This window comes from Homo sapiens, chromosome 3 (genome assembly GCF_000001405.40).
Source record: "Homo sapiens chromosome 3, GRCh38.p14 Primary Assembly".
In the NCBI taxonomy this organism is placed as follows: domain Eukaryota; kingdom Metazoa; phylum Chordata; class Mammalia; order Primates; family Hominidae; genus Homo; species Homo sapiens.
In genome coordinates, this window is record NC_000003.12 from 58,521,982 (window position 1) to 58,545,947 (window position 23,966).

Here is a 23,966-nt window from a genome sequence, read left to right on the forward strand (position 1 = left end):
TGGGCAGAAGTGTACCTGCTCTGGGATTCCATAGCAGCCTGTATTTCCCTGTCATGGTGCTTCCTTGATTGTAGCCGTGCATGGGCAGTGGCTTCACTGTTGAGCACCCAGGTCAGTGCCCAGGGCAGAGTGGGTGCTCAAATATTTGCCGACCGACTGTGAATTATGCAGAAACACAAAACGAGTGGAAATGGAATCAGACATCCAAGGATTGCCTGTGGGGCTAAGGGGAGACTTGACCTGCTTTTCTATCTGGGAGGAAATATTTGAACAACCTGAAGCAAATCCAATAACACTGCCTCATTACCTTTTCCCCTAAGAGCTGCCAGCAAGATTGCTTTGGAGTTAAGTCCTTTAATTAAAATACCCTGGACTAAAGCCTTGGAAGTGAAATGAGGGCAGCCGCCACTGAAGCAGAGTTGGGGAATAATGGCAGAGCCCGGATTTTCCCAGCAGGGTAGCCTGCCTGGGAAGCAAAATGGATCCCTTTCAGCTTCAGCTGGCAGGCGCTCACCTTAGCAGCCTGGAGGTGTATGACAGTGGTCTGGTTCCAAGCCTCGTGCTGGTCAGCTCCGGATTGCGTCAGGGTCTGTAAATGCTGCACTGAGTCCTTTATGAGCCTGAAAGCCAAAGCAAAAAAGGTTCAGCTTCCTGACTGAGTGGAAAAGACAACTGATGGGCTTCCTGTGGTCCCTCAGAAGTAGAAATAATGCCTGTTTATTGACCACTTATGTGCCATAAAGCTAAATGATTGATATTTATTATCTTTTTAACTCTTTTAAGGGCAGGCACCCCCCAGTTTGCAATGGGGAAAACTGAGTCCCAGAGAGGTTAACCAATTTGTCCAGGGTCACACAGCTAGTAAGGAGTGGAGCCAGGATTTTGACTTGTTGTTAATCGCCATGTTATAAAGCCTCAGGGCCACAGGCCAGGAGCTGTCCCCTATTTCTAATGCAGATTCCAGCCTCACACCAGTATGTTCAGGCCTTTTTGTTGACTGACGTCCTGTGGCCTGAGCAAGGAGAATGGTTTTTCTGTAAAGGCTAGAGAGGCCCGTCGGTCACCTAGCCTGCTGCAGGTTCTACCCAAGGGACCTAAAAACAAAAAGAGAAAACCAACCTTTGTCCTGCAAACCACTAAATTAGTCATTAAATAACCTTTAATCCCCTCTTATTTTCTATTCCCTGCCCATCCATCCATGACCCTTAGAATTTGTGTGTAAAGCAAACTGTTTATTAAGCAATATGTTTTTTGCTTTGTCAGGGAATAGATAAGCAGATGTCACACTGAGTTTCAAGCAAGGAGAAATACCATGACACTTTAATCACCTCGAGCAGCCTTATCTTCCCCTCCTCAAATCTCCCAATTGAAATGTTAGCTCTATGAGTTTGGGGTGTTTATCAGGCCTATTTACTGATAGGTCCCTAATGCCTAGAACAGTGCCTGCCATATTATAGGCAGTTAATAAATATTTTTGGAATAAATAAATGAATGTTCCAAGTTGCTTGTGATCTTGAAATAACTATTAACCATCCCTGGGACCACAGGTTGGGATATAAGACCTCTTATTATATACTGAAAATATGTTTTTCCAGTTTGTTTTTGGTGTTTCCTTTTTATTTTTTTATTAAAATTTTTTGTATTTTTGGTAGAGGTGGGGTTTCACCATGTTGCCGAAGCTGGTCTCAAACTCCTGAGCTCAAGCAATCCGCCCACCTCGACCTCCCAAAGTGCTGGAATTACTGGTGTCAGCCACCATGCCCAGCCTGTTTTCGGTGTTTTAATTTGGGGGCAGCATTCAGAACGTTTTCTTTTTAGGTAGTTAAACCTCCATCTTTTCCATGGTGGTATGTGTGTTTGGTCAGGACCTCTCTATTCCCAGCCCCTGGCACATTTGTTCATTCCTAACACATAGTAGGTACTGAACAATATTTGTTGAATGACAGAATGGATGAGTCCTTGGTTTTGTCCATGTTCCCTGGAGCCTACTAGACCCTGGAAATAAATGAATTCTATCCCGTGGTGTAGTCATATTTTCAAAAATTATTTTTAGATTATGGGATATTTCAAACGTACGAGTGAGTATTGCTTTATTTATTGGTATTTGCATATCAATACATTTGGAGTATTTACATATGGGTACATTCGTTGTATTGCAAATCACCATAGGACCCTAGAGATTTTAAAAATATCTCACTGGCCAGAGGTGTGATGTCCTTCTACTACTGTGACCAGGATGGGGAAGTGACGGGGGTCCATGGCTGATGGGGGGGACATCCCCTCTCTCTGCCCATGGTGGCAGGAACTGAGAGGACCGGGGAGGCTAGGCATGGGGTGGTTTTTAGAACTGAATCCACGAATGTCCACCCAACCAATCCAAAGGCCCTAGTGTGGCATGGAGCCTGTGCCCAGGTGGGATGGCTGATTTCTCAGCACTGGCTTACCTTACTGCCACATGTGCCCAGGCCGTGGTGTAGAGCTCCGGGCAGAGGAAGTCGGCTGCCCTCTGGGCTGGACACCTGGCCAGGTCAGGTGCGGTGAGATATGCGACAGATGGAGAGAGAGATCTCTGTGGCGTGGAGCCAGGGGACATCTGAGTCTGCAGGTAGCTCTTCACCAGGAACCTGGGGGTTGGAAGAGGAGGCAGGTGAGAGGGCAGAGACTCTGTGAGACAGCCCAGCACCCCTCACTCCCAGAGACAGGCAAGCTCATGCTAGGTTCCAGCCTTCCCGTGGGAGAGCCAGGTCACCAGGCCTCTGCCTGGCCTCCCTCCTGAGGGTTCCCCCTCGGGCCGTCCTGCCTCGAGGCCCTCAGTCAGGCATATCCCAGGACCTGTGGAGCTGGGCCAGACACTCTCTGATCCTGAACATAAACCCTTCTGTGATCTGAGCAAACAGAATTTTCCATCAGAACACTGTGATTTTGGGATTTATAATGACTTGTACAGTGACTGGGTGGAAATTAAATTTTCTTAGCTGAAAAAAGAAGGATAGAGGCAAGAATGCTAACAGGAGTAGGAGGATTATAGGTGACTCTCAACTGCTGCTTTAGGATAATCCAGTGGTTACAGGTTCTGGGCTTAGACAGCCCTGGATTCCCATACAGCCTCGCCGAGACCTGTGTGATGAAAGAAGCTTCACCTCCCAAGTCTCTGTTTCTCTAGCTCTAGGTGGGGAGGACAGTTCTCATCTGATTGAGGGTTTGTGAAATGGAATGAGATGATATTTGTAGAGTGCTTGGCACAGTGCAGAGTACATAATATGTGCTATTGTACTCCTTTTCTAATTTGGAAAAAAACCAAGGGATGTTATATATTTTTAAAAATATAATAAATGTTGTTTTTCATATTTGCCAGTGAACTTCTTTCTCCTTGCATAGGGAAGCATTTGCCCTGTTTGTTCACCTGAGAATAGGTGAGGATGAGGCTCTGTCGGCCTCCAGGGCCCACAGACCTAAGAGGGATGAAAAGAAATCGCCTGTGTGGAGGAAGCTGACTTGGCCATTGCTTGGAGCCTCTGTGTGCAGGCTCTGCACCAAGCTTAGGCGATGCTAAAGCGAGCAAGGTAGGGGTAGTCCCTGCCCTCAGGGAGCTCCTAATCTAGTTGGAGAGTAGAGCTAAAAAGGTGAACAAAAAAATGAGACAATGATAGATTGTGAAACTGCTCCAAAGGAAACAAGGCCATGTTGGGTGGGAGGGGATCAAATGCAAAGGCCTCCTGGACAGAAAGAAGTGTGTGGCCGGCAGAAGTGAGCAGAGGTGGCTGGGTGCGGTGGCTTGTGCCTGTAATCCCAGCACTTTGGGAGGCTAAGGCAGGTGGATCACCTGAGGTCAGGAGTTGGAGAGCAGCCTGGCCAACATGGTGAAACCCCATCTCTACTAAAAATACAAAAATTAGATGGGCATGGTGGTGTGTAATCCCAGCTACTGCGGAGGCTAAGGCAGGAGAATTGCTTGAACCCGGCGGGCAGAGGTTGCAGTGAGCCGAGATTGCACCACTGCACTCCAGCCTGGGTGACAGTGAGACTCCATCTCAAAAAAAAAAAGAAGAAGAAGAAGTGAGCAGAGGCAGGAGGTGGTGAGAGCAGGATGGACGGGGAGGCAGGGGTCAGGTCACATGGACCTTGCAGGCCACAGCATAGAATATGTCATTTTCCTATGAGCACTGGGAAGCCGTTGAAGAATTTCAAACCAGAGAAAGATGTGATCCTCCCTAGGCTCTGAACAGATCCCTCCGGCTGCCTGTGGAGAAGCAGGACAGGATAGAAGCAAGAGACCAGGGAGGGGTCTGAGGCTGTGGTGGAGGTGAGAGAGGATGGTGGCCTAGAAGTGGATAGGTTAGTCATACTGGGGAATTGGACAGCTCCCAAATAGCACTTCGCAAAGCCTGCTCTTTTTATGGGCCTCAGACGGAACCCTCCACCCAACAGAAGCTTGGTGGGTCCCCAAGGGCTTGGGCAAAGGCCTGGGTCAGCCTGGACCTTACCTGGCCACCTGCAGGTAGAGCACTGTGTTCTCACCCTCGTAGGTACAGGAGGCCGACAATTTGGTGACCAGTGATGGCAGGCCACTCAGCTTTGAGTAGCCATGTCCGCCACAGGCCCTGCGGCACATCTCAGCTCCCTGGGTGCAGAATTCTGACATCATGGCCTTCATGCCCGTGCTCAGTGCGTGGAGCTGTGAGAACATGGAGGGGGGTTGGGCGGTGTTAGGGGGCCTCCACCATAGGGACCAACCCTGTGCACCACTTACTGAGCATCTACTCATGCCCAGCTCAGCTCTGAGGTAAGAAGTGTTTCCTCTGCTCACAACTTTATGAATGAGAAGGCGGGTACTCAGCTTATGTGACTCACCCAGAGGCACACAATTAGGCAATGTAGCTGTAGGGGCATAAGAGTGAAGGAAAACCTGGCCTGGCCAGTGTCTCCAGGATTGGGAAGAGGGTGCTGCCTGGATTGGGCCCACAAACCTCCAGGAGTTACGGATTTTGCTGGCCTGGGTTTTAGAAAGCTAGCTTATGAGGATGGGTGTCCACTGTAAGCCCACTTACTGGGTTGTAGGAGGGTGACAGGGTCTGAATGTGTCCACCTAAAATTCTTATGTAGAAATCCTAACCCTCAAGGGTTAGGGCTAGGATTAGGAGGTATTGATGATTAGGACTAGGATTAGGAGGTATTATGATGGTAGTAGGAGTTGGGGCCTTCAGGAGGTAATTAAGTCATGAGGGTGGAGGCCTCATGAATGGGATCAGTGCCCTCATGAAAGAGGCTGCTTCTGGCTGGGTGTGGTGGCTCACACCTGCAATCCCAGCACTTTGGGAGGCCAAGGCAGGTGGATCACGAGGTCAGGAGATCGAGGCCATCCTGGCCAACATAGTGAAACCCCGTCTCTACTAAAAATACAAAAATTAGCTGGGCGTGGTGGCGTGCACTTGTAGTCCCAGCTACACAGGAGGCTGAGGCAGGAGAATCTCTTGAACCTGGGAGGCGGAGGTTGCAGTGAGCCAAGATTGTACCACTGCACTCCAGCCTGGGTGACAGAGTGAGACTGTCTCAGGAAAAAAAAAAAAAAGAAAGAAAGAGGCTGCTTCTACCATTTGAGGACACAGCAAAAAGCCGTTCAGGAAGCAGGCCCTCACCTGACACCAAATGCACTAGTGCCTTGACCTTGGACTTCCCAGCCTCCAGAACTGTGAGCAATAAATTTGTTTGTTTTTCTTTTTTGAGACAGCGTCTCACTCTGCTGCTCAGGCTGGACTGGAGTGCAGTGGCACAATCACAGCTCACTGCATCCTTGCACTCCTGGGCTCAAGGAATCCTCCCACCTCAGCCTCCAAAGTAGTAGTTGGGACTACAGGTGTGTGCTACCACACCTGACTAATTTTTCATTTTTTTTTTTTTTTGTGGAGACGGGGGTCTCACCATCTTGCTCAGGCTGGTCTTGTCTTGAACTCCTGGGCTCAAGCAATCCTCCTGCCCTGGCCTCCCAAAGTGCTGAGATTACAGGTGTAAGTCACCATGCCAGGCCAATTTCTGTTGTTTATAAACCACTGCTTTATGGTATTTTGTTACAGTGGCCCCAACAGGACAGAGGCTGCTGGGCAGCAGGACTGCTTTCAGATTTTGGTTCTTGAAGACCCTGCCTATCTTTGGAGCTTTCAAGTCCTTGGGAGGAAAGTTATGTCCCTTGATCTCTCTGTGCCTCATTGCAGTTGGAAGGGTTAATGAGCAGTGCTTATAAAGCATGGTAGCCTGGACAGACTGAATTTTACTATATATGTAAGTCCACAATGCTTTACCTGAGACCTGTGAGCCAGATGTGTTTAGGAATCAGAGTAACTTTTGGATTATAGAGAGGCCAAGTGGCATTTAAAGTGCATTTTATATAATAGCCCCAGTGGGGTTTGGGGCAGCTTTAGTGATTAAACACATTAATAATTTTACTGCAAAATGTATTCACACTCAGAGGGATAAATCAGGTCAGTTCAGGTCAAACTATGCCACCAAATGAGTTCCAAACAACTGTTTTTCGGAGCTTTTCAGGTTTCAAATACACATCAGGGGTTGTGGACCTGTGTTCTCTACGCTAGGTGTGATTGTTTTCTCTTAGTATGTTTGTAGCTCTCTGGGGGCTGGTTGTGGGTAAATTTATATACCAGGGTGCCGTTCACCCAGACGCCCTGGGATGCTGAAAGCTGGGAGAGGTGGGGGTGGGGAGTGCCCATGGGGATGGGGCTGTGGCTGCTCCCCAGTGAGTGGAACAATCTTAGCTCCCAGCGCCTGCCAGCGCCTGCCCCTCCGCAGACAGCAGGTACCTCAGGCAGGAAGCTGAAGTCTTGGTTCAGAATGGCAGTGTAGGAGTGCTGGAAGAACTCCAAGAGGCTGACTGCCAGGAAATGGAAGGCATAACTGATGGCCAGCTGAGGAAAGAGTTTCTGCTGTTGTGTCTGGTAGTCCAGGACCTTTGCCTCTGGGTCACTGAAGGGAAAAGAACCAGAAGATTTAGATCACTACCTGTTGTGTCCACCTTCCCCTATCCCCGACACCATAAAAACCTTAAAAACAGACAGTTCCTTAGAACTCATTGCAAAACTTGAACTGACATGAGGCCATTGATAATCCTTTAAAAATCCCATCTAACATGAACATCCACACATTTCACTGCAGGAATACTGACACATTTGTTGGTGGGTACTGCCCCTTGTTAAGGGAGGCTTATAGAATTCCAGCATATACACAGTATTATCCTAAAACCTGAAAAGTTCTGAGACTCCAACACGTCTGGTCCCAAGATTTCAGGTGAAGAGTTGTGGCCCTGCACCTGTGATGATTTGAACCTGTGACCTTCCACTGCCCGTGTGCACTTGCCGCGCGCTGAGGAATATGTCAAGCCTAAACAATAACTCTTAGGATGTAAACTCAGGTCTGATGGAACCCCAAGGAAGGGACTGTGTCTGCCTTATCCGCTGCTATGTCCTCAGTGCCCAAGGCTATGTCCGGCATTTAGGAGCTCGCAGTAACTGGATTGAAAGAGGATGTGATTACAAGAAGCCTCCTCTACAGACAGCAGCTGCTTACCTGGCGCATCTTTCTTATAACCACCCTGGGGACACTTCTGCAGCCCAGATAAATGGGCCTCGGGCAGGACAGCAGCAGAAGCCCCTTCTTCCCAGTGGCCCTGTCCTCCAGAGAACTCTTGCAGCCCAGATTCTGAAGCCCAGGCCAGGCGAGGGCGCTGTGAGCTTGCCAGAGGAAAGGACCCTGGGCTGAGGACTTAATGTGCCTTACTGCATTTCACCCTCCACACCACACTGAAAGGCCACTTCTGCCACACCCATTTTGTAGCTGAGGAAGCTGAGGGATGAAGTGAAATGGCCGAGCTGAGTGTTCACAGAGGGTTCAGGCAGCCCTTGCTATTCTGTGCTGTGGGGTGGAGGGAGTGGTAGCAACACAACCAATTACAACAAAAGGGATCCAGACTAGACATACCAGTGGGATGCTGACAGCACAGCTGGACAGAACGAGCTCAGCCACACACAGTCGATATGATATTGGATTTTGCTAGGCTCGGCCTGACAGAATCAACTCAGCCAGCCATAGTCTGATGCAGCTGGCAACTGGCTGACCCAGACCCGTCCAACCCGTCACAGCCGCACAGAACACGGCTGGACTCGGACAGACACAGAGTCAGACAGACCTGGTGCTACAGGGCCAAAGACACTATCACATAGAGCCCGATGGGGGCCAGGCACTGAGGATGCAGGTTAGGCCGGCTGGTCAGCCCTGTTAGAGGCAGCCAGAGAGACTCCTCTGACATGCCCAGATGGGGCCAGGCTGGGTAGATTTTGTGTTTGTGTGTGTGTATGTGGTGGGGGGCATTGCCTGCTCCCAGCACTCTGGCTCTGGCAGAAGGGTGGTGTCAGGGGGAGGCACTGTGGGACCAAGAGGCAGCATATCTGCGGTAGTCAGTCACTGGGCACCCCTTGCCTGGGCCGGAGCCGGGATTGGCGGCGGATGACCGAGTAGCGCATGGCGATGACACAGGCCTTCTGCAGTATAGGGAGGATCTCCCCTGACAGCAGCTCCACCCGCACCACCACCATGGGAAGGTAGTTGCTCTGTGCTGTACCGAGTTTGACGTAGGTGCCATCTGGCAAGACCTGTGTGGAACAAGGACGGGCACAAGTTCTGGGCCAAGGCTTCCCAGGATGCCCTCGCTTCTCCAGAGCTGTGGGGCTCCACACATGGAGGGCACCTCGCCCCTCAACCGGCGCATCTGGAGTTGGAGTGTTAAAATACCAGGCCATTTCCCCAAGTGCCCTGCTTCACAGTGCCTCTCCTGGGACACCCCGGACCTCCCCACGACCCATAACTAAAGGGGTGATGCCTGGCAGAATTGGGACCTTCAGAACTCCTGCTGGCATTCTGGCTGGTATCTGTTGGGCGATTGGCTGTGTCAGGCCTCACTGTGGGTAAATATTATGCAGGTCACCTCAGCCCTATCCTCTCCTGGGGCTGCCACCCCACCCCACGATTGCTCTGTCAGCCTATGTGACGAGCATTTCTGCATGAGAGGTCTGAGGCTCTGTGCCCAAGATCATACTGCTCCTAAGCAGGGGTTTCACCCCAATCTGTGGGATATCAGAGCCTCTCTTGGGGGAGGAGGTTATGTGGCCCAAACTAAGCTCTATGGAGGACCCAGGCCCAGCCTGCACAAAGCGCAGGTCCCCTCTCCAGGAAGTACAAGTCCCCGGCCTCCCCAGATCTGTAACCTGTGCAAAGCGACTCAGCATGTTCTCCCTGGGGACCCGCACATGGTTCAGCTGCAGGAAGCCATTGTCTGTTTGATCAAAGTCCATCTTGGGTCCGATGTCCCCAATGATGATTCCTTGAAGGAGATGGAGATGAGGACACCTATCAGTTGAGAGAGTGCTTGCTATGTGGCAGGTATCATACACACATTCCAGGTCACAGCAGCCTGTGACACTGGGATTATTGTACCTATTTTGCAGGTGAACAAGCTGAGGTCAGAAAGATGCTAAATCTTGCTCAAGTTCACCTAGCCAGTTAGCACCAAGTCTGTCCAACTGGACCGCTCCCTGCCCAAGGGAGACATGTCTTAGCTACTCCTGTGGCCCTCTGGGGCCCCAGGTCAGGGAGGCCACCTGGGCTCTCCTCCTGGCAGGGTTCCTTGAGGGAGCATTATGGGCTTACCTGGCAGTGGGGTGTGGTCCTGAAGACTCCGGATTGGCACAATAAAAGCGTGCATGCCCCGCCTGGCTCCTGAGCAGATCAGCTGGGCCTGGACCAGGGCATGGGTGGCTGACCGTCCCACTGAGGGCAGAGAGAGTAGCGGCCCGTCACAGGAAGACCTGTGCATTGCTTTTCCCAACCAACCCAGCCTCCTGGGGCTGGGGTTTTGGATGGGTACCTCTGGGGCCCTGAAAAGTCACTGATCAAAGAGAGAGGGGATTGCCCCCAAAGAACCAAGCAAACCTAGCAGCGTTGGCAAAGGCACTGTGAAATGATCCAGCTTTTTTTTTGCCCCCCCCAACTATTAATGAATTACTCTGTCATCAACCTTATAATAATGAATACAGATAATTATCATTTATCAAAATCTAGGTGGCGCTAGACCCTGTGATAGATGCTTTCCAGTTCTTGCAGGGGAGAGAGGATGATGAGTCCCATTTTCCAGTTAAGGAAACAGGCTCAGAGAGTAGAGTGACACACTGAAGGTCATTGGCCTGGAGGGGCAGAGCTAGGATTCATCTGTACCCTGGTCTGTCTGATCTAAAAGGCTGGTTTCTTTTGTCTTCATTTTTGACAGTGGTCATTTATTTTCTCTCTCTCTTTCTGTCATCACTCTCTCATCTCTCTCTCTCTTTTTTTTTCTTTTTCTTCTTTCTTTCTTTCTTTTGTTTTTGAGACAGAGTCTCACTCTTTCGCCAGGCTGGAGTGCAATGGCCTGAGCTCGGCTCATTGCAGCCTCTGCCTCCCAGGTTCAAGCAATTCTCCTGTCTCAGCCTCCCGAGTAGGTGGGACTACAGATGCCCGCCACCACACACGACTAATTTTTGTATTTTTAGTAGAGATGAGGTTTAATGATATTGGTCAGGCTGGTTCAAACTCCTGACCTCAGGTGATCCACTCACCTCGGCATCCCAAAGTGCTGGGATTATAGGCATGAGCCACCGCACCCGGCTCATGTCTCTCTCTTATGTCTCTGGTCTCTGCCTGTGTCTCCCTCTCTCTATGTGTCTCTCATCTCTGTCACTCTCCTGCTTTAGTTGGGCTCAGCATATTTGTTTTAATTTTTTCCACACAAGGTGTGGGTCCCCAAGTGCCACAGATGTGTCCTTGGAGGTGAAATTCTCAAGTTTGAGGAAGGGGAAATCCCTCGTTGGGGCTTGGTAAATCACCAAGCCTCAGGGACGCTTGATGTGGCCGCCACCTGGTGGCCACAGCAGGAGGTACGGCGTTGGTGGCCTGATGGGGGCTGGTGATGGGCGTGAGCCTTCCTGGGTGTCTGCAGCAGGGGCAGGCAGGCGTATTCTTTCCACTGTGTCATCACAGGGCCTGTGCTCTGGCTGGTGGCAAGCTCTGCCACTAACTCGGGAGATGAGAGGAACCGGGGTTGTGAGGAGTGCCTAGGACTAGACCAAGTGTGTGTGTTTGTGCGTGTGTGTGTGAGTGAGGCCTTGTCTCTCATGGATCGATTGTCTCCTCTACTTCAAAGTTCCTTTGGGGACTTTCCAGCCACTCACTAATGAAATGTTTAATATCCCACCTATTTTACAGAGTAAGAACCTGAGGCTCAGGTTGGTGAACTGACTTGCCCAAGGTCAGCAGCCTAGAACAGAAAATCAATCTGAGGTCTGTTGGACCTCAAAGCCAGTGCTACTCTGCCCTCCAACATTCTTCTACTTGGGGAGAGTTAAGGAAGGGGGGTGGATGTATACTCACAGTCTCCAGGCCACCATTTGGTGGCAGTCAGCGTGGGGCTGTGTATCACAAACTCCTGGGTGGCTGCGTCATAGGTGGCTTCAGTCTCCAGGCCCTGAAGATATGTCCCTTAGGATCAAGGAGAGGTGTTAGACATTGGCCTGAGGTGGGGTTCTTACCTGTGAAGCTGCTTCTAGGTGGGTCTGAACTCTTAGGCATCAGCGCAGTATGGAGTGGGGCCCAGCTCCCAGCTGTACTTGCAGGCAGTTCTCCCCTTTCATCTGTGGGCTGTGTGTGGGACACACAGTCCCCTATAGCCAGTCCATGAGAAGGGGTGGCTGCTGATGTTTCCAGAAGGAATGACTTGCCCCACTGGGAGCTCATACAATACGTGCAAATTAGAAGGTGGCACCCCTTCCTCAGGACCCTTGACTGCCAGCTGCTGGAATGTTTTCTTATTAAACATATGTCCCTCGGAGCATATGAACCTATGACTACCTAGATGTAAATGGGCCCTCTGGAGTTTTGCAGTGCACAACCTAAACACCACACGCAGCAGTCCTAGCTCACCATGTCCCAACTCTGTCTGTGCATACGTTGCGATGATCTGGATGTTTTTGCAGAGTGGGTCCCATTTGGCAATCTGCTCCTCTGAGCCCAGGCTCCTGAGGGCTCTCACGAAGACTCTGTGTATATTTAAGGCCACGTCTCCAGAAAGGGCTCTGTTGGGGAGAGATGCTGTAGTTGAGTAGCTTATTGGAGACAGGGGCCCAGGTACCCCCTGCCTGAGCAGAGTACAGGAGATAAAGGGCACCTAGCATCCTGGTTTCCCAACAAGTCTTCCCTTTGTTGGGGGAAATGGCTCATGGGGCTAGGGGGTTTCCAGGTGATCCCAGGTAGATCCCTCTCTAGTGGGGCTGCTCGAGGAGTGAGCACCTGTAAGCGTAGCCTAATTCACGACCATCTTCTAACCAACCCAGGCGCCGAGCTATCAACCGGATGTGGAATGCCCTCCGCATGGCAGCCTTATAACGCTCATTCTGGGTCATGAAATAATTGTCCTTACAGCTAAACTCCGGGTAACTGTGGATGATGCTCTCTGCAGAGGACAGAGAACAGAGGGCTTAGGGACCTGGGTGAGGTTTCTGGCACCTTGAAATCTTCTCACCCACTTGCTTCATGGATCTGGAAAGGAAGTCAGACATTATTGTTATTTTACAGATGACAAAACTGAGGACCAAGGTGGGAAAGTGAATTGCCCAAGGTTACAAAGCTATGCAGTGGCAGAATTTTAGGACCAGAATCCAGGTCTTCTGCTGCCTAGGACTCTTCTATCCCCTAGGTGGGCTCAGGCAATATTGACATGTGAAGATTGTCTTTACAGTTCGAAGGAATGAATCTCTAACAGTGGAATTTCAAGGGCAAAGTTTGTTATTTGGAAGCAGAACTGCTAATGAAGGACTCTTCTTACAAGAGAAGCATGGGGCATAAAACAGATGTCCCATTCCCCAGCTTCCCCTTACCAACTTTCCTGCGGAGTGCAGTGTTCTGGGCACCTCCATCAAGGATGTTGGTGAGCCGTTCCACGTCAAAGGACTGCATATACCTCTCGCTCTCTATGTCGGGGTGCATTTGCCTGCTCCAGGTATCCCCCAATGACACTCGGTGCACTGGGCTGCCCATCCTATCCTGGATCTGTCTGGTGACTATGGAGAGACACTTCCAACCCGGCTGCTCCGAGGGTCTGCTCTCAGCATTGGTCAGTGCAAAGAACCTGTGTGCAAGAGGAACTGCCTAGGGCTGGGTGTCAGCCAGGGCTGGTTGGTAGAAGAAAGACATCCCTAAGTACCTGAATGCCACTCCACCTCCCCACTCCCCCTGTGGACACTGGCTGTGGACCAGGCACTGTGTGCATGGTAGGCATGGTATGCAGCCATTGCTTGGTACATGTTTGTTCAATACTTGTTAGCCAAAATTGGACAGGGCCTGACCCCAAAGATTGGGCTCTATCCACTGCAGTTTGAGTTACATGAATTGCCTAGGGAAATCTTCACAAAAAAGTCAGTGAAGCTTACACCTGAAGAAAATAATCCTGGAGAGGTTGAGTGGCCCCTAGCCACACAGCTGGAGATGGCCAGGAGTTGGATGGGGTCTGACCACAAAGCACATGACTTGTCCATACTACAGCTCCACTGTGGAGGATTGCTGGGGGCACCTTGGTCTCATTAAACTGCTCATAAGTTCTAGGATCACTCAGCTCCATTTCTATGAGCCCTGCAGGTATATTGTGGAACTGAAGGGAGGAAGCCTTCTTCCTGCCTGTGAAGTGTTCCCCTGGAGCCCCTGAGTGTCTTTCATACCCAGGTTGGACCCTGTCTCCTTCATGGCAAGTGCTTGGCCTCTGAGAAGCCCCTATTCCTCCACAGTGAGGCAACCATGAGGTGCAGTCCATCCTATTTCACAAGTCTCTTGAGTCCATCTGCTCCTTGCTATCTCTTTGGCTAGCATCCAGGCCACTGTTATCTCTTACTTGGCCTCAGTGTTCCTCTTATTTGTTCTCCCAGCTGCCAGGTGAACTCTTGAACTGCAAATCACATTGTTTTCCTCTCCTGCTTGGAATCTGCTCCTTGGGGCCCACTGTTTGTGGAATGGAGTCCTTGCTGTGTCTACCCAACCCTACTCCACTCACCTCTCTCCTATGTCAACTTACTGCCCTCATCCCTGGCCTCCACTCATTCTCTTCCTACCCTTTGCCCCTGCTGTTCTCTCTGAACAAAGTTCAGCTCCCTCGTTCCCTGGGTGCTCTAGGGTTAGGGACAAGTTCTTATTTGCTTACATGTTCCTCCCACAAGGCCTGGGAGGCCAGCTCTGCATTTCCTAGCTTGCAGCAGGTATGTTGTAAATCTCTCCGGCAGGCTGCCATGCTTTTGATCCCCTTCCTTCCTGACCTCAACCTGACAGATGCACTGCTGTTATTACCATTTTATGGAGAGGATGTGGGCCTTGGAAAGGGAGGAGACTTTATAAGGGTCATGCAACCACATGTAGCAAATGATTCATATGAGGCTTTCAAACCAATACCCCCAGCAGGGCTGTGGGGGTGCTGGCAAGGGGCCCCATCCTCTGCCCCCCGGAGTCCTGCAAGTGCCCCTAGTGCGGCTCCTCTCGTCCTGCCTTACCTCTTTTCCTTGCTCTGCTGCCACTGCCTCCTTGCTGTTCTGAATGCTCCAGGCCTCCCTGCCACTGCCAGCATTTGCTAGGGCATCTCCATCTGCCCAGAACACCCTTTCTTCAAATGTCACTAGGGCTTTTTGCATTGAACCTCATTTAACCTTAAAGAGGCCACCCTCTTTAAAACCCCAAGCCCCCTCCCCCGGCATTCCCTGTCCTCCTCACTCTGCTCTCCTTTTTCTCTTTTCACTTATCCCCTTCTGACATTTGAGATCATTTACTCATTTCATATGTTTTTGTTTACTTCCATCTCCCTGCTACTAACACAGAAACTGCAAGAGGGCCGGGATCTTTGTCACTGTCATGCCGTGACCCTAACACTTAGTGCAGGGCCTGATTTGCAGGAGGTGCCCAGTGAAGAAAGCCTTGCTCAGGGTCTCTCGGAGCTGCGGACAGGGTCATCATGGGGGCAGCCCTCTCCTCTGGGGTCTCCCAGTCCCTCCCTGCCCAAAAACCTGGCTCACCTGGCTCCCCTCTGTCCTGTGTCCGCACTGTAGGCCGGGCTGGCCTCTCCCCGGCTGTAGGCCGCAGCCTCTGGCAGGCTTGTGGTCCTGCCCTTCTCTCCTCCCACATAGGGGCTGGAACACAGAAGCTGAGAGAAACTGCTTGGCCAGCTCTCAAGCCCTTGTCTGCTCTCAAGCCCTTGTCTGCTCTCAAGCCCTTGTCTGCTCTCAAGCCCTTGTCTGGGCTTATGGAGCTCCTCTCCTTCCTCCCTCTCTTCCTGCATGGGTGTGACCTTTGTGCCTGTCGCTGGGGCTGCCCTGGGAGGACTTCTGGGAGGTTGGAGCCCTTACATCTCAAAGCCAGGGATTCCTTTGACACTACTTGTACCAAAAAGCTGTGTACCCCAGCAGTGTTTCCAAAGTGATATCCTGGTCTTCCCTGATCTTTCACTGTGTGCCCTTCAGGCACTCAAGCTGTTAATATCACACGAGCTTAATAGGCTCCCCTGAGATGGTCCTCATGTGAAAGGATTGCTCTGTAAGGTGTACGTTTTTCCTCTCTCCCCATGTTTCTGCTCTAAAATATGGCTTGTCTTATGCTTAGCATCCCCTGACATTCCCTGGAAAAATATTTGTGAAGCATCCATCTGTAGTGTGTGGGATCCAGATGAGAGCTGGGTCTTAGTGAGAGGAATGAGAGGCTTAGAGGTTCCCTCCCTGCATAACCACCTTGGAAAGTCAGATGCGGCTCCCCATTTTGCAGGTAAGGAAACAGGCTCAGGGAGGGATGTCACTTTGTTTGGGTTTGCACAATAAGTAGATTACGTAACACATTTGTGTAAGACTGGGAAAGAAATCAAGGGGCCAGTAGGAGATCAAGGCTCCTGTTCTGGCAGGACTTCTGAGCTATGTTGACTCTGAGCAGGTGTACTCCTTTCTGGGCCTTGGCCTCCCCTGTAATGCAAGGTATTTGCTCAGTAAGGAGCCTCACAGCACCCCATCATATCCCCAAGGTAGTGTCTAGCTTGTGTCTGTAGGAAGAGGCAGGACCTGTGGCCCAAGCTTTGCAACTTATCACCTAGTAGGTCCTTCTGGAGCTGTGGGGCTCAGACTCCTGGCAGTCCTCATTGCTGTGGGCAGTGGTTTCAGGGAAGGTGGTCTTGGCCCCACTGTTTGGAGGTGAAAGTTCTTACTTACACCTGGACTCATCTCCGCCAAGGATTTATGCTATCACTGACCATGGGCAATGACTTAGTTCCTCTCTGCCATAGAGAAAGGCTTGGATTGCAGGAAGTGCCCAGTGAAGAAAGCCTTGCTCAGGGGCCCTTGGAGCAAGGCTTTTTAATAAACTCTCCATGTTTAAATTGTTTTCTCATCCGCTTTGAAGCTGACCCTGTTCTGTATGTTTTGGATGTGATCATTTTGATTTGTTGCACTGAAATCTTGAATTCTCTAGCTTAAAAAGGCTTTTTAAATTACAAAATATTTCAAACTTGTACAAAAGTGGAGAGAAAAATATAATGAACCTGCATGTACCTAACACCCAGCACTAACAATGATCACACTTGTCTCCTTGTTCTTTGTGTTTAACTTTTTATTTTGAAATAACTTTAGAATTTCAGAAAGCTGCAAAAAGTTCTTGTATATCCTTCACTCAGCTTCTTCTAAGGTACAATTATGAAACCAAGCCATTAACACTGCTGCAATATTGTCAGCTAATCTTCAGAACTTATTTGAGTGTGTCAGAGGTTCTCCAAGATCAACCTCAGGTCCAGTGATTTGCTAGGAAGACTCATAGAACTTAGAAACTGTTATACTGAGCCAGGCGTGATGGCTCACGCCTATAATTCCATTGCTTTGGGAGGTTGAGGCTTGAGGATCACTTGAGGCCAGGAGTTTGAGACCAGCCTGGACAACATAGCAAGACCCTGTCTCTACCAAAAAAGATGTAAAAATTAGCCCAGTGTGGTGGTGTGTGCCTGTAGTGCTAGCTCTTTGGGAGGATGCAGTGGAAGGATTGCTTGGGCCCAGAAGTTCGAAGCTGCAGTGAGCTATAATGGAACCACTATACTCTAGCCTGGGTGACAGAGTGAGACTTTGCCTCTAGAACAAACAAGAAGAAACTGTAATACTCATGGTTACAGTTTATTACAGCAAAAGATTACAGATTAAAATCAGTAGAAGGAAAAGGTACATAGCACGAAGTCTAGGAGAGAATAGACTGAGCTTCTAGGTGTCCTCTCCCAGTGGTGTTGTATGGACAGCATTTAATTCTCCCAACAACGATGTTTACAATATGCACGAAGTATTGACAACCAGGGAAGCACACTTTTGAGGCAGGAGAACAGCAGAAGGAATTGGAGGTTGGATAAAGGGTGGAATGAGCGAAAGCAGAAGCAAGGTGAAGGGGTGAGTGAGCAAGAAGCAAGAGAAGAAGCAGAAGTTAAGCAGCCAAAACAAAAGTAAGATAAAAAACTGAGTAAAGAGACCCCATGGCTGGCAAGATCCTGACCAAACCAGTAAGGGGCAGCTCCTCCGAGATAGGCATGCTCATTAGAGCGAAAAAGCATCTTTAACATGACCCCGTATGATAATCAGCTCATTAAAGCTCATGCATATGGACTGCATATCATGCATGTACTTGAGATTATGGAACGGAGGCGACGTGCAAGCGCACAAGGGCCAAACAAAGTAAGCAACATGCCTATCAATCAAAAGGCAGACACTAGCTAGAGACTCGGCAGCCTTGGGAAAAGAAAGGGAAAAAAGAACACATAAGAAGACCACAAGCCCAGGAAACTGATGCTGATCTCATCTCGCAGAGGTCAGCCCACTCTGCCCTCTTTGAGAGTATAATGCTGTGCTTAATAAACTATTGCTGCTGGCTTTGCTACTTGTGTGTATCACGTCCAGTTTTTTGGTTTTTTTGTTTTTTTGTTTTTGAGACAGAGCCTTGCTCTATTGCCCAGGCTGGAATGCAGTGGCTCACTGCAACCTCTGCCTCCTGGGTTCAAGCAATTCTCTTCCCCCAGCCTCCTGAGTAGCTGGGATTACAGGCATGTGCCACCATGCCCGGCTAATTTTTGTATTTTTAGTAGAGACAGGGTTTCACCATGTTGGTCAGGCTGGTCTTGAACTTCTGACCTCAAATGATCCGCACGCCTCAGCCTCCCAAAGTGCTGGGATTATAGGCATGAGCCACAGCACCCGGCCCAGTCCAGCTTTTCGTTTGGGACACCAAGAGCCTGGAACTGCATGGCACCATCTGGCAACACCTTGGTGTCCAGAGTTATTGCAGTCATCACAGAGCCATGGGATGCTTGTGTGGCTGACCTTAGCTACTCAGTCTCCATCGACTCCAGATGTGAAACTCATAGAGTGTGGCCTAAGGACCCACTCGGAATCACATTATTAGTATAAACTGCCTGGCATGGCCCAAGGCCCCAAGTATACAAAGATACTGTTTTCAGGCAGGATATTCCAAGGGCATAGAGGTTACCTCCCAGGAGCTGTCAGGTGCCAGTCCTTTCTTTGGACTATGCAGGGTTTGAAATATTGCTGAGTTAACATTTTTCTGCATATTGAGTTTTGCTAGTTTTCCCACTAATGTTCTTTTCCTGGTTTAGGATTGAATTCAGGATCTCACGTTGCATGTAGTTAGTTGTCCTGTCTACATGAAACAGTATAGTTCCTCGGTCTTTCTTTGTCTTTTATGACCATGATACTTTGAAGAGTACTGGTCAGGTGTTTTGTAAATGTCTTTCAATTTGAATTTGTCTGCTGTTTTCTTGTGATTGGATTGAAATTAAGTTCTTGGTTTTTTTTAAATATTTAGTTTACCATACCCTATGTATATAAAGTTTTTTTGGTTTATTAAAATGCATCCACTTGTCAGTGATATTGTTTTGCTGATAATCAGAAATTTGATTCCTCATAGGTAGTATTAAAATGCTATTTTGTATTCTTCCTATTTTTATACTTTAAAAATATTTAACTTATTTATCATTGAAAAATAAAGATAGTATATCTTTATCATGGACAATCAGGTGTTTTGAAATATGTATATGCATTGTGGAATTGCTAAATCAAGCTAATTTACACATTCATTACCTCACATACTAATTTTTTGTGGTAAGAACACTTAAAATCTACTCTCTTAGCAATTTTCAAGTATATAATACATTGCTGTTAATTACAGTCACCATGTTGTACATATTGTATTATGTTATTGAAACCACCTTTGCAAACATTGTAACTGAGAAAATGATGACAATCAAAGAAATCTGACCTAACTGACTCCATCTTGCTTCTAACCTCCAAACTGTCCTTGTTCATTCCTGGGCATAGGCCAAACTGATTTTGGGAGGAACTGAATTTATAGTTTAACTTTGAACAAAGAAAGTAACAGCCCTTTCCCAAAATAAACTCCTTTCTTGCATGAGGACTAGACTGCCTTTGCAGGACTAACAAATTAGCTACAAGATTAGAAATTATGGTTTAGGAGTCATGCAGCTGGACTCCTAAGCCTGTGTGTGTGTGTGTGTGTGTGTGTGTGTGTGTGTGTATTCTGATGTTGGGTGCATATATGATTGTTATATCCTCTTGATGAATTGACTTCTCTATCATTTTATAATGACCTTCTTTGTCTCTTTTTACAGTTTTTGACTTAAAGTCTATTTTATCTGATACAAGTATTACTTTTCCTGCACTCTTTTGGTTGCCATTAGCATGGAATGTCTTTTTCCACCCCTTTACTCTCAGTCTGTGTGTATCTTTGTGTGCATGTGTGCGTGTGTGTGTGACAGGGTCTCACTCTGCTGCCTAGGTTGGAGTGCAGTGGTGAGATCTCGGCTTGCTGAAAATTCTGCCTCCCAGGCTCAAGTGATTTTTGTGCCTCAGCCTCCTGAGTAGCTGGGATTACAGGTACCCGCCACCATGCCCAGTTATCTTTTGTATTTTTAGTAAAGATGGGGTTTTGATATGTTGGCCAGGCTGGTCTTGAACTCCTGGCCTCAAGTGATTTGTCCACCTCAGACTCCCAAAGAGCTGGGATAGAGGTGTGAGCCACTACACCTGGCCCTCTAGTGACCTTCCTTGTCTCTTTTTACATTCTTTGATTTGAAATCCATTTTATCTGCTGCAAGTATAGCGACTCCTGCTCTTTTTTGTTTTTCCTTTGTGTGGCATATCTTTTTCCATTCCTTCACTTTCAGGCTACATGTGTCTTTAATGGTGAAGTGAATTTCTTGTAGGCAGTATATAGTAGTTGGGTCTTGTTTTCTTAATCCATTTAGCCACTCTATGTCTTTTTATATTTATTTATTTATTTGAGATGGAGTTTTATTCTTGTTGCCCAGGCTGGAGTGCAGTGGCACGATCTTGGCTCACTGCAACCTCCACCTCCCGGGTTCAAGTGATTCTCCTGCCTCAGCCTCCCAAGTGTCTGGGATTACAGGCATGTGCCACCATGCCCGGCTAATTTTTGTGTTTTTAGTAGAGACAGGGTTTCACCATGTTGGCCAGGTTAGTCTTGAACTCCTGACCTCAGATGATCCACCTGCCTCGGCCATCCAAAGTGCTGGGATTACAGGTGTGAGCCACTGTGCCTGGCCCCTCTCTATGTCTTTTTAAATTTAAATTTAAAAAATTGTTTTAGAGGCAGGGTCTCACTGTGTTGCCCAGGCTGGTCTTGAACTCCTGGGCTCAAGCAATCTTCCTACCTCAGCCTTCTAAGTAGCTGGGGTTACAGGTACATATCACAGCATCTGGCTTCCATGTCTTTTAATTGGAGAATTCAGTTAATTTACATTGAATTTTATTATTAATAGGTAAGAACGTAATACTGCCATTTTGTTACTTATTTTCTGTTTTGTGACTCCTCTCTTTCTTTCCTACTGTCGTACTTTGGGGTTAAATCATTTTCTCTGGAAGTATGTTTTAATTTGTTGCCTTTTATTTTTAGTGTACCTATTATAGATTTTTGCTTGTGGTTACTATGAGGCTTACAAAACACATCCTGTAGATATAACAAGTTATTTCAAACAGATGACAATCTAACTATGATCACAAAGAAAAGAAACAAAGGGCAACTAAAACACTCCATCTTTAACACTTTAACTCCATCTTCCCACATTTTCGTTTTTGTTTTCTCAATTTACATCTTTTTGTTTTGCCTACCTTTTGACAGGTTGCTGTAGTTTTTATTTTTGATAGATTTTTCTTTTAGTATTGACACGAGAGATATGAGTGGATTATATACCACAATTATAATAGTAGAGTATTCTGAATTACTTTGTGTACTAACTTTTGCCAGTGAGTTTTATACCTTCAAATGTTTATGTTTTGCACATTAGCATTCTTTTCTTTCAGACTGAAGAACTCCCTTTAGCATTTCTAGTAAGATGGGTCTAGTGGTGATGCTTTTGTTTGTCTGGGAAATACTTTTTTCTTTTTATAGATTAAGGGGTCCAAGTGGAATTTAGTTACATGGATGTATCATGGAGTGGGAAAGTCTGGGCTTTTAGTGTACTCATCGCCCTAACAGTGTACATTGTACTCAATAGGTAATTTTTCATCCCTCGCCCCATCCCGCCCTCCCACCTTTTGGAGCCGCAAATGTTCATTATTCCACTGTGTATGTCCATGTGTACCCATTGTTTAGCTCCCACTTACAAGTAAGAACACTCAGTATTTGCCTTTCTGTTTCTGAGTTATTTCATTAGGATAACGGACTCCAGTTCCATCTGTGTTGCTGTAAAAAATATTTCATTCTTTTTTTTTTTTTGAGATGGAGTCTCACTCTGTTGCCAGGCTGGAGTGCAGTGGTGAGATCTTGACTCACTGCAACCCCCGCCTCCCAGGTTCAAGCGATTCTCCTGCCTCAGCCTCCCAAGTAGCTGGGACTCCAGACACGTGCTTCCATGCTCAGCTAATTTTTGTATTTTTCGTGGAGACGGGGTTTCACCATTTTGGCCAGGATGGTCTTGATCTCTTGACCTTGTGATCCTCCCGCCTCGGCCTCCCAAAGTGCTGGGATTACAGGCGTGAGCCACTGCACCAGCAACATTTCATTCTCTTTTATGGATAAGTAGTGTTCTGTTTTTTATATATACATATAGTAAATATATATGCAAAGAATTTATGATTAAGTCCTCAAAAACAAACTCAACAAAAACATATATGTGTTTAAATATATGTTTTTGTGATAACTAAACTATATATATTTTTTGTGATAAGTATATCACATTTTCTTTATTTCATAATCTGTAGATGGATGCTTAGTTTGAGTCTATGACTTAGCCATTGAGAATAATGCTGCAATAAACATAAAAGTGCATGTATGTTTTTGGTATAATGACTTCTTTTCCTTTGGTTAGATACCTAGTAGTGGGATTGCTGGATTGAATGGTAGTTTTATTGTTAGTTCTTTGAGAAATCTCCGTACTGTTTTCTGTAGAGCTTGTATTAATTTACAGTCTGACCAATAGTGTGCAAGTGTTCCCTTTTCTCTGCATCCTTGCCAACATCTGTGGATTTTTGACTTTTAAATAATAGCCTTTCTGACTGGTGTAAGATGGTGTCTCATTGTGGCTTTAATTTGTCTTACTCTGATGATTAGTGATGTTGAGCATTTTTTTCATGTTTCTTGGCCGCTTACGTGTCTTCTTTTGAAAAATGTCTGTTCGTGTCCTTTGCCCACTTTTTAATGGGGTTATTTGTTTTTTTTTCTTGTTGAGTTGATTGAGTTCCTTGTAGATTCTGGCTATTTTCCCTTTGTTGGATGCATCACTTACAAATATTTTTTCCCATTCTGTAGGTTGTCTGTTTAGTCTGTTGTTATTTCTTTTTTGTGCAGAACTTTTAATTTAATTAAGTCCCGTTTGTCTATTTTTGTTTTCGTTGAGTTTGTTTTTGAGGACTTAGTCATAAATTCTTTGCCTAGGACAATGTCCAGAAGAGTTTTTCTCAAATTTTCTTCCAGGATTTTTATAGTTTCAGGTCTTACATTTAAATCTTTAATGTATTTTATGTTAATTTTTGTATATGGTAAGAGATATGGGCCTAGCTTCTTTCTTCTGCATATGGCTGTTCAATTTTCCCAGCACCATTTATTGACTAGAGTGTTCTTTCTCTACTGTATATTTTTGTTGACTTTGCTGAAGATCAGTTGTCTGTAGGTATGTGGTCTTATTTCTGGCATGTCTTCTCTATTTTATTGACCCATGTGTCTGTTTTTATACCAATACCATGCTGTTTTGATTACTGTAGCCTTGCAGTATAATTTGAAGTCAGGTGAGGTGATGCCTCCAGCTCTGTCTGTTTGCTTAGGATTGCCTTAGCTATCAGGCTCTTTTTTTGGTTCCATATAAATTTTAAGATTTTTAAAAATTCTATGAAAAATGACATTGGCAACTTGATAGGAATAGTGTGAATCTGTAGATTGCTTTGGGCAGTATGGTCATTTTAATGATATTGATTCTTCCATTCTGTGAGTATGGGCTGTTTTTCCATTTGTGTCATCTACAATTCCTTTTATCAATATTTTGTAGTTCTCTTTGTAGAGATCTTTTATTTCCTTGGTTGATTTTATTTCCTTGCTATATATATATACATATATATATACACACACATATATATACACACACACACATATATATATATACACATATATATACACACACACATATATATGCACACACATATATATATACACACACATATATATATATATATATTTTTTTTTTTTTTTTAGACGGAGTCTCATCTGTGTTGCCCAGGCTGAAGAGCAATGGCATGATCTTGGCTCACTGCAAGCTCCGCCTCCCAGGTTCATGCCATTCTCCTGCCTCA

General features: G+C 47.1%; 1 protein-coding gene and 1 long non-coding RNA gene across 6 annotated transcripts in view, besides 3 other annotated features; one reads left to right on the top strand and one right to left on the bottom strand.

Annotated features, from left to right (window-relative positions):
• Positions 1 to 15,209, bottom strand: part of ACOX2 (acyl-CoA oxidase 2) — a 32,055-nt gene extending 16,846 nt beyond the window's left edge. Inside the window, exons 1-12 of one of the 4 annotated variants that reach the window (NM_003500.4) lie at positions 15,138 to 15,209; positions 12,966 to 13,216; positions 12,379 to 12,541; positions 12,013 to 12,164; positions 11,464 to 11,571; positions 9,712 to 9,831; positions 9,270 to 9,385; positions 8,485 to 8,657; positions 6,813 to 6,975; positions 4,485 to 4,675; positions 2,445 to 2,624; positions 515 to 620 (exon numbers count right to left, since the gene is read on the bottom strand). In NM_003500.4, the coding sequence (NP_003491.1) occupies positions 515 to 620; positions 2,445 to 2,624; positions 4,485 to 4,675; positions 6,813 to 6,975; positions 8,485 to 8,657; positions 9,270 to 9,385; positions 9,712 to 9,831; positions 11,464 to 11,571; positions 12,013 to 12,164; positions 12,379 to 12,541; positions 12,966 to 13,125 (1,632 nt within the window). In that variant the 5' untranslated portion in view covers positions 13,126 to 13,216; positions 15,138 to 15,209. Of the gene's footprint in view, positions 1 to 514; positions 621 to 2,444; positions 2,625 to 4,484; positions 4,676 to 6,812; positions 6,976 to 8,484; positions 8,658 to 9,269; positions 9,386 to 9,711; positions 9,832 to 11,463; positions 11,572 to 12,012; positions 12,165 to 12,378; positions 12,542 to 12,594; positions 12,628 to 12,965; positions 13,260 to 14,278 lie in introns of those variants that run through there. The other 3 variants (XM_005265505.2, XM_047449042.1, XM_006713340.4) reach the window with 3 other exon arrangements.
• Positions 4,559 to 5,074: an enhancer, noted in NCBI's record as "H3K4me1 hESC enhancer chr3:58512267-58512782 (GRCh37/hg19 assembly coordinates)". NCBI's record gives its function as "activates a minimal SCP1, AML or CMV promoter by ChIP-STARR-seq in naive H9 embryonic stem cells {active_cell/tissue: H9 hESC(naive)}" and the evidence as "EXISTENCE:reporter gene assay evidence [ECO:0000049][PMID:30033119]".
• Positions 8,433 to 8,933: an enhancer, noted in NCBI's record as "H3K4me1 hESC enhancer chr3:58516141-58516641 (GRCh37/hg19 assembly coordinates)". NCBI's record gives its function as "activates a minimal SCP1, AML or CMV promoter by ChIP-STARR-seq in naive H9 embryonic stem cells {active_cell/tissue: H9 hESC(naive)}" and the evidence as "EXISTENCE:reporter gene assay evidence [ECO:0000049][PMID:30033119]".
• Positions 9,301 to 9,802: an enhancer, noted in NCBI's record as "H3K4me1 hESC enhancer chr3:58517009-58517510 (GRCh37/hg19 assembly coordinates)". NCBI's record gives its function as "activates a minimal SCP1, AML or CMV promoter by ChIP-STARR-seq in primed H9 embryonic stem cells {active_cell/tissue: H9 hESC(primed)}" and the evidence as "EXISTENCE:reporter gene assay evidence [ECO:0000049][PMID:30033119]".
• Positions 13,391 to 23,966, top strand: part of LOC107984079 (uncharacterized) — a 44,804-nt gene continuing 34,228 nt past the window's right edge. For both annotated transcript variants that reach the window (XR_001740724.2, XR_001740721.2), the window contains exon 1: positions 13,391 to 14,333. This is a non-coding gene — a long non-coding RNA (uncharacterized LOC107984079). The remainder of the gene's footprint in view (positions 14,334 to 23,966) is intronic.